Below are 9,455 nucleotides of genomic sequence, written 5' to 3' on the forward strand. Positions count from 1 at the left end.
GCTCTGGGAGTGGGGGAAGGAGTCAAAGACCCCCGAGCAGAGGAGAGACTGGAGAGGGACTGGTTGGGGTGAATCGGCCTCCAGCGTCTTCCAGCAAAGCGTCTCCTCCCACCCACGCTGGCCTGCGACCATTCCCCAGACACCTGGCGCCACCCACCGGGCCAAGTGGAGGCTGCGTGTGGGAGGGCTGTAGCCCTCAATGCCCTGGGGTGCTCAGATGAGGAGGGGGCTGAGAAGGGGAGGGGCCCTAGATGGGGAGGAACAGAGAAGCCCTGTTAGACGCATGCCTTGAAGAAACTTGGTTTACACACACACACATGCTTCCATGTGCATGCACACACTGGCAGACACACGTACATACACACGCACACATGCTCACACAGATGCCCATGCTTGCACACACCCATCCACGCTCACTAATACACATGCACGCATGCTCACAAACTGATGCCCGCATGCTCACGCACAAGCACACGTGCTCACACACACATACGCATGCATGCTCACACACATATACACGTACATGCATGCTCACACGTGCACACATACACACGCACCCATACTCACACACATACATACATGCCTGCACACACACACGCATGCTCACACAGACTACCGCATGCTCGCACACGCACACATGCACACATGCTCACATACATACACGCATGCATGCTCACACATATACACACGCATGCATGCTCACACACATGCTCGCACACATACATACACACATGCTTACACACACACGCACGCATGCTCACAGACTCCCGCATGCTCACACACGTGCTAACACACGCACGTGCTCACACATACACATGCACAAATGATCACACACACACCTGCATGCATGATCACACATGCACACATATGCACCCATGCTTGCACACATGCTGACACACATACGCACGCAGGCATGGTCACACGCATACACACGCACACATGCTCTCTCACACACACACATACATGCACACACATACATGCTCACACACACGCACACATACACACACACCCATGCTCGCACACACACACGCATGCTCACACACGCACACACGCACCCATGCTCACACACACACCACACAAGCATGCTCCCACACATACACACATACATGCTCTCACACACTCTATCACACATACGACTGTTCCTGGGGCTGTGCTGCCCTCCTGTGGCTGCTGACAACTCCATGTCCAGCCCACTCAGCTGCCGGATCCCCAGGAGGGCCACCATGGATGTCTGGGGCCGAGGAGGCACACAGCCACCCGGGGCCAGGGAGCACCGAGGCCTGGGTAAGGGCAGAAGCCGCCAAGCCCCCGGTTTGCTCCACCCCTCAGTCCCCATCACAGTCTGGGCCAGGACTCAGAGCCCTGGGTTCCCCAACGAACCTGCCCCTCCAGGGAACCCAGGACCCCTTAGGACAGAGCTCCAGACCCCATCAAGGACTAAAGGAAGAAAATTAAGCACAAACAAGGTAGAAGAAATAATGAAAACACGAGTGGACAGAAATGAAGTAAAAAGTGGACAAACAACAGAGAAAATCAAGGAAAGCAAGAGTGAGTGATTCGGAAAGATCCACAGAACCCACAGATTTCCAGCTGGACGAATCAAAGGAAACAAAAAGAAGAAACCACAAATCAGCACTGTCAGAAAGGAGAGGAGGCGCCATCTCACCTCCCACAGACACCGAGAGAGTGAGTGTCAGGAAGGAGAGGAGGTGTTGTCTCACCTCCCACAGACACTGACAGAGTGAACGTGTCAGGAAGGAGAGGAGGCGCCGTCTCACCTCCCACAGACAGCAAGAGAGTGAACGTGTCAGGAAGGAGAGGAGGCGCCATCTCACCTCCCACAGACACCGACAGAGTGAGTGTCAGGAAGGAGAGGAGGTGTTGTCTCACCTCCCACAGACACTGACAGAGTGAACGTGTCAGGAAGGAGAGGAGGCGCCATCTCACCTCCCACAGACAGCAAGAGAGTGAACGTGTCAGGAAGGAGAGGAGGCACCATCTCACCTCCCACAGACACCGACAGAGTGAACGTGTCAGGAAGGAGAGGAGGCGCCGTCTCACCTCCCACAGACACCGAGAGAGTGAACGTTTAGGAACGAGAGAAGGCGCCATCTCACCTCCCACAGACAGCGAGAGAGTGAACGTGTCAGGAAGGAGAGGAGGTGTCGTCTCACCTCCCACAGACGCCGACAGAGTGAAAGTGTCAGGAAGGAGAGGAGGCGCCGTCTCACCTCCCACAGACGCCGACAGAGTGAAAGTGTCAGGAAGGAGAGGAGGCGCCGTCTCACCTCCCACAGACACCGAGAGAGTGAACGTGTCAGGAAGGAGAGGAGGCGCCATCTCACCTCCCACAGACACCGAGAGAGTGAACGTGTCAGGAAGGAGAGGAGGTGTCGTCTCAACTCCCACAGACACCGAGAGAGTGAACGTTTAGGAACGAGAGAAGGCGCCATCTCACCTCCCACAGACAGCGAGAAAGTGAACGTGTCAGGAAGGAGAGGAGGCGTCGTCTCACCTCCCACAGACACCGAGAGAGTGAACGTGTCAGGAAGGACAGGAGGCGCCATCTCACCTCCCACAGACAGCGAGAGAGTGAACGTGTCAGGAAGGAGAGGAGGCACCATCTCACCTCCCACAGACACCGACAGAGTGAACGTGTCAGGAAGGAGAGGAGGCGCTGTCTCACCTCCCACAGACACCGAGAGAGTGAACGTTTAGGAACGAGAGAAGGCGCCATCTCACCTCCCACAGACAGCGAGAGAGTGAACGTGTCAGGAAGGAGAGGAGGCGTCGTCTCACCTCCCACAGACACCGACAGAGTGAAAGTGTCAGGAAGGAGAGGAGGCGCCATCTCACCTCCCACAGACAGCGAGACAGTGAACGTCTCAAGTTTATTAACAGCTTTATGACCACAAATTTCCCAACTTAGATGACATAGAAAAATTCCTTGAAAGACACTAATTGTTGGATCTGGCAGAAGAAGTTTCATCACCAAAATGGCCCTAGATCTAGTAAAGAAATTCCATATACAACTAAAACCTTCCCACAAAGACAATTCCTGGCCCAGATGTCTTCCCTGGTGAATGCAACCAAACATTTAGGGAACAAATAATATCCATTCTACACAGACTCTTCCCAGAAATACAAGTTTCGAGGCCACCATTACCACAAGCTCAAAACCAGAAGAGATATCATGGGAAAAGGAAATTACAGGCCAACTTTCCTCACAGACATGGACACAAAATAGTTTCTAGAACACTTGCCTGAAAAGCAAATAGAGGCCGGGCGTGGTGGCCCACGCCCGTGATCCCAGCACTTTGGGAGGCCAAGGAGGGCGGATTTCTTGAGGTCAGGAGTTTGAGACCATCTTGGTCAGCATGGTGAAAACCCGTCTCTACTAAAAATACAAAAATTAGTCGGGTGGTGGGGTGCACCTGTAATCCCAGCTACTTGGGAGGCTGAGACAAGAGAGTCACTTGAACCTGGGAGGCGGAGGTTGCAGTGATCCGAGATCGTGCCATTGCACTACAGCCCAGGCAATAAAGCGAGACTTCGTCTCAAAAAAAAAAAAAAAAAAGCAAATAGAATAATTTTTTTTAAACACATAGACACAAAAGTTGTAATGAAATAAATGCAAAGTAAATCGAATTGTGCAATATATAAAGAGGATAATACATCAACACCAAGGGGAGTTTATCCCAGGAAGGCAAGGGATCCAGCTTTCTTTTTCCTTTTTTTTTTTTTTTTTGAGATGGATTCTCGCTCTGTCACCCAGGCTGGAGTGCGGTGGCAGGATCTGGGCTCACTGCAAGCTCCGCCTCCCGGGTTCACACCATTCTCCTGCCTCAGCGTCTTGAGTAGCTGGGACTACAGGCACCAACCACCACACCCGGCTAATTTTTTTGTATTTTTAGTAGAAACAGGGTTTCACCGTGTTAGCCAGGATGGTCTCAATCTCCTGACTTTGTGTCCGCCTACCTCGGCCTCCCAAAGTGCTGAGATTACAGGTGTGAGCCACTGTGCCTGGCCCCTTTTTTTTTTTTTTTTTTTTTGAGATGGAATCTTGCTCTGTCACCCAGGCTGGAGTACAGTGGTGCGATTCTGGCTCACTGCAACCCAGCAGCCTCCGCCTCCCAGGTTCAAGTGATTCTCCCGCCTCAGCCTGCCAAGTAGCTGGGATCACAGGTGCGCGCCACCACGCTCGGCTAATTTTTGTATTTTTAGTAGAGACAGGGTTTCACCATATTGGCCAAGCTGGTCTCAAACCCCTGACCTCGTGATCCACCCACCTCAGCCTCCCAAAGTGCTGGGATTACAGGCGTGAGCCACTGTGCCCGGCCAGGATTCAGCTTTCTAAAGTCAATCAGCATAATTTACCATGTCCAGCTAACTAACAGACAGAGAGGGACTCCCTAAAAGAAGAGCTGTTTATTTGGGACTAGCAAGCTGCAAAGGGAATGCTTGGCCTCTGTAAACTACGTGCATATTCCTGTAGGGAAAGGAAGAGGAGGGTTTCTAAGGGAAAATGGGGAGAATCATGTTGTTTTGAAAATTATCCTTGGCTACAAATACCAACAGCTGGGGTGAGGCCAGTCAGAGGTTGGACAGGCGGTGGCTGAGCAGACGTCCTTGGAGAAGCATTGTTTGGGTCTCAAGGCCTTCGTGCAGGGCTGTGGTGCCCATAGTCTTTTTCCTCAGGCACAGGCATGACACATCTCTTCAGGACCTCGCCCAGCTCTGTTTGTCACGGTTTGGTGGTGGTGGTGGTGGTGTTTTATTGGTTATTGAGATGCCGTTTTGCTCTCGTTGCCCAGTCTGGAGTGCAGTGGTGCGATCTCGGCTCACTGCAGCCTCTGCCTCCCGGGTTCAAGCGGTTCTCCTGCCTCAGCCTCCCGAGTAGCTGGAATTACAGGCACATGCCACCACACCAGGCTAATTTTTGTATTTTTAGTAGAGACGGGGTTTCACCGTGTCGGTCAGGCTGGTCTGGAACTCCTGACCTCCGGTGATCCTCCTGCCTCAGCCTCCCAAAGTGCTGGGATTACAGGCATGAGCCACCGTGCCCAGCCTGTTGTTGTTTTAACACCAGTGACCTTATATTTATTCTGACAACTTTCACATTCATGTTAACAGAATAAGAAAAAAATCCATGTAATCCCCTCAGGCAAAATCATGACAAAATGCGTCATCGTTCGTGGTGCAAACTCTCAGCAAACCAGCAATGGAAGGGAGCCAACTACACCGACAAGACCATCTATCCAAACCCATCGCTGAAGCCATGGCTGATGGTGAAACACAGAAGGCCCCGGCCGAGGTGGGGAGCAGGGCCGGGGGCTTCTCTCGCCACCTCCCTCTGCGCCGTGCAGGAAGTCCCGGGGCAATAGGGCAGGAAAAGGAAAGGAAGACATACATGATCCGACATGTAGAAAATCCTTTTAAGGCCGGGTGTCGTGGCTCACGTAATCCCAGCACTTTGGGAGCCCAGGAGTTGGAGACCAGCCTGGGCAACACAGCAAGACCCTGTCTCTATAAAAAAATTTTTGAAAATTAGCTGGGCATGGTGGCACGCACCTATAGTCCCAGCTACTCAGGAGGCTGAGACAGGAGGATTTCTTGAGTCTGAGAGGTTGAGACCAGCCTGGGCAACATGGCGAAATCCTGTCTCTACTAAAAATACAAAAATTAGCCAGGCATGGCGGCACATGCCTGTAATCCCTGTTACTTGGGAGCGGAAGGCTGAGGTGGGAGGATCACATGAACCTGGGAGGTGAAGGCTGCAGTGAGCCGAGATTGTGCCACTGCATTCCAGCCTGGGCAACAGGCTGTCTCAAAAAAAAAAAAGAAAGAAAGAAAGAAAAAAATTGAACCTTAACTTTATTTCACTCTGCACAAAAATGAAATCAAGATGAGTCACATAGACTTAAACATAAAATCCAAGACCTTCTGGAAGAAGACGAGGGACAATCGTCACAATTTGGGGTAGGCAAAGACTTCTTTCAGGTCACAGAAACACCAGACATACAAGAAAAGAAATTGATAGCAAAGTAGATTTTTATCAAAATCAATTTTTTTTTGCTGATCAAAAGATACCATGAAGAAAATGAATAGGCAATCCAGAGACTGGGAAAAATATTCATTGTAGATATCTCTGACAAAAGATTTGCATTCATGGCTGGGTGCAGTGGCTCACAACTGTGATCCCAGGAGCTTCGGAGGCCGAAGTGGGTGGATCAGCTGGGCTCAGGAGTTCAAGACCAGCCTGGCCAACATGGTGAAACCTCGTCTCTACTAAAAATACAAAAATTAGCTTGGTGTGGTAGTGGGCCCTCTAATCCCAGCTACTTGGGAGGCTGAGGCAGGAGAATCGCTTGAACCCAGGAGACGGAGGTTGCAGTAAGCCAAAATCATGCCACTGCACTTCAGCCTCGGCAATAGAGTGAAACCCTGCCTCAAAAAAAAAAAAAAAGATATTACACAAATGGCCAATAAACATAGAAAGGTGGGGGTCAGGTGCGGTGGCTCACACCTGTAATCCCAGCACTTTGGGAGGCTGAGGCAGGCTGATCACCTGAGGTCAGGAGTTCAAGACCAGCCTGGCCAACATGGTAAAACCCTGTCTCTACTGAAAATACAAAAATTAGCTGGATGTGGTGGTGCATACCTGTAATCCCAGCTACTTGGGAGACTGAGGCAGGAGAATCACTTGAACCAGGGAGGCAGAAGTTGCAGTGAGCCAAGATCTTGCCACTGCACTCCAGCCTGGGTGACCGAGTGAGACTCCAACTCAAAACTAAATAAATAAAAAATAAAAATAAAAAAACACAGAAAAGTGCTCAACATCTGTAGAACCAGAGAAATGCAAATTAAAATTACAGTGAGATGCAGCCGGGCGCAGTGGGAGGCCGAAGCAGGCGGATCATGAGGTCAAGAGATCGAGACCATCCTGGCCAACATGGTGAAACCCATCTCTAAAAATACAAAAATTAGCCGGGTGTGGTGGTGCGTGCTTGTAGTCCCAGCTACTAGGGAGGCTGAAGCAGGAGAATCGCTTGAACCCAGGAGGTTCCCAGGTTGAACCCAGCCTGGCAAAAGAGCAAGACTCCATCTCAAAAAAAAAAAAAAAAAGAAAAATTACAGAGAGTTGCCGGTACATACCAGTTCATCAATGGTAGCAAACACATCTCACGAATGTAAGACGTTAAATAATCAGAGAAACTGTGTGCAGGCTGTATGGAACTGTCACGAGACAACATTGCAACAAATTCAACTTAAAAATCTTAATTGGCTTTCATTCACAATTCTGAAATTGGCTTAGAACCAGGACAAATTCAGACCTGGAGCTGCACAACGTTCATGGAAACGGAAGTGATGCGCAGAGGCAGTTTTGGTGGTGGCCGCTGGGCACTTTGCCTTGAAATCAGCGGCCACTGGCAACTGACAGCTGGCAGCTGCGGTGACCTGGACCCAGTCCCTGTGACAAGAGGCCAGCCTTCTGTGGCCTTCAGGCCATGCCAGGCTGCAGTTTGCTGTATGGACTCATGCCCCAGGCCTCCTCGGTGAAAACTTAACAGGACTCTCGGGTTCATTTTGAAACCTTTATGTAAGTCTTAGCCGGGCACGGTGGCTCATGCCTGTAATCCCAGCACTTTGGGAGGCTGAGGCAGGTGGATCATGACGTCAGGAGTTTGAGACTAGCCTGACCAACATGGTGAAACCCCGTCTCTACTAAAAGTACAAAAACTGGAGGCCGGGCACAGTGGCACATGCTTGTAATCCCAGCTACTCGGGAGGCTGAGGCAGGAGAATCACTTGAACCCAGGAGATGGAGGTTGCAGTGAGCTGAGATCGCGCCATTGTACTCCAGCCTGGGCAACAGAGCAAGACTCCATCTCAGGAAAAAAAAAAAGAAGAGAAACCTTTATGTAAGTCTAAATCTATTCTGAAATTAAAAGTTGATGTAAAAATCTTTAAAACGTAGGCTGCAGTCACATGGGGGGAAGCCAGAGGAGGGGGAAGATGAGTGAAGCCCAGCTCTGCTCCTGGGAGCTGAAAGCACAGGTGTCAAAACACCAGCCGGGAGTGCGGCAGTGCAAGGCCTGGCCCTGCCTTCCCCAAGTGCTCAGGACAGAATTTTCCATCTGTTTTATTTTTTAAATTTTTATTGATTGATTCATTCATTCATTTATTGAGATGAAATCTCGCCCTGTCGCCCAGGCTGGAGTGCAATGGCATGATCTCGGCTCACTGCAACCTCCACCTCCCGGGTTCAAGCAATTCTCCTGCCTCAGCCTCCCAAATAGCTGGGATTACAGGGGCCTGCCACCACACCTGGCTAATTTTTTTGTATCTTTAGTAGAGACGGGGTTTCACCATGTTGGCCAGGCTGGTCTCGAACTCCTGACCTCAGGTGATCTGCCCGCCTCAGCCTCCCAAAGCACTGGGATTACAGGTGTGAGCCATCGTGCTGGGCCCATTTATTTATTTATTTATTTGAGACAGAGTCTCGTTCTCTCTCCCAGGCCGGAATGCAGTGGCGCAATCTTGGCTCACTGCAACCTCTGCCTTCTGGGTTCAAGCGATTCTTCTGCCTCAGCCTCCCGAGTAGCTGGGATTACAGGCACCCGCCACCACGCCCAGCTAATTTTTTGTATTTTTAGTAGAGATGGGGTTTCACCATGTTGGCCAGACTGGTCTTGAACTCCTGACCTCAGGTGATCTGCCCACCTCAGCCTCCCAAAGCACTAGGATTACAGGTGTGAGCCACCACACTGGGCTTATTTATTTATTTATTTTATATATATATATATATTTTTTTTTTTTTTTGAGGCGGAGTCTCGCTCTGTCACCCAGGCTGGAGTGCAGTGGCATGATCTTGGCTCACTGCAACCTCCATGTCTGGGTTCAAGCAATTCTCTGCCTCAGACTCTCGAATAGCTAGGATTACAGGTGGCCACCATCACTCCCAGCTAATTTTTTGTATTTTTAGTAGAGACGGGGTTTCACCACGTTGGCCAGGCTGGTCTTGAACTCCTGACCTCAGGTGATCCGCCCGCCTCAGCCTCCCAAAGTGCTGGGATTGCAGGTGTGAGCCACCCGCCTGGGCCATTTATTTATTGTTTGAGGAACTGCTATATTGCTTCCCACAGTGGCTACATCGTTTTACATTCCACAACATCACACAAGGGCTCCCATCTCTCCACACCCTGAACAACACTTGTTACTTTTTTTTTTTGAGATGGAGTTTCGCTCTTGTTGCCCAGGCTGGAGTGCAATGGCGCGATCTCGGTTCACTGCAACCTCCACCTCCCGGGTTTAGGCAATTCTCCTGTCTCAGCCTCCTGAGTAGCTGGGATTACAGGCGCCTGCCACCACACCCAGCTAATTTTTGTATTTTTAGTAGAGATGGGGTTTCATCATATTGGTCAGGCTGGTCTCGAACTCCTGACCTTGTGATC

General features: G+C 50.7%; 3 annotated features.

Annotated features, from left to right (window-relative positions):
• Window positions 34-153: an enhancer, noted in NCBI's record as "active region_29318". NCBI's record gives its function as "activates an Ori minimal core promoter by ATAC-STARR-seq in GM12878 lymphoblastoid cells {active_cell/tissue: GM12878}" and the evidence as "EXISTENCE:reporter gene assay evidence [ECO:0000049][PMID:35858748]".
• Window positions 336-867: an enhancer, noted in NCBI's record as "H3K4me1 hESC enhancer chr9:139525219-139525750 (GRCh37/hg19 assembly coordinates)". NCBI's record gives its function as "activates a minimal SCP1, AML or CMV promoter by ChIP-STARR-seq in primed H9 embryonic stem cells {active_cell/tissue: H9 hESC(primed)}" and the evidence as "EXISTENCE:reporter gene assay evidence [ECO:0000049][PMID:30033119]".
• Window positions 868-1,399: an enhancer, noted in NCBI's record as "H3K4me1 hESC enhancer chr9:139525751-139526282 (GRCh37/hg19 assembly coordinates)". NCBI's record gives its function as "activates a minimal SCP1, AML or CMV promoter by ChIP-STARR-seq in primed H9 embryonic stem cells {active_cell/tissue: H9 hESC(primed)}" and the evidence as "EXISTENCE:reporter gene assay evidence [ECO:0000049][PMID:30033119]".

This window comes from Homo sapiens, chromosome 9 (genome assembly GCF_000001405.40).
Source record: "Homo sapiens chromosome 9, GRCh38.p14 Primary Assembly".
NCBI lineage: Eukaryota > Metazoa > Chordata > Mammalia > Primates > Hominidae > Homo > Homo sapiens.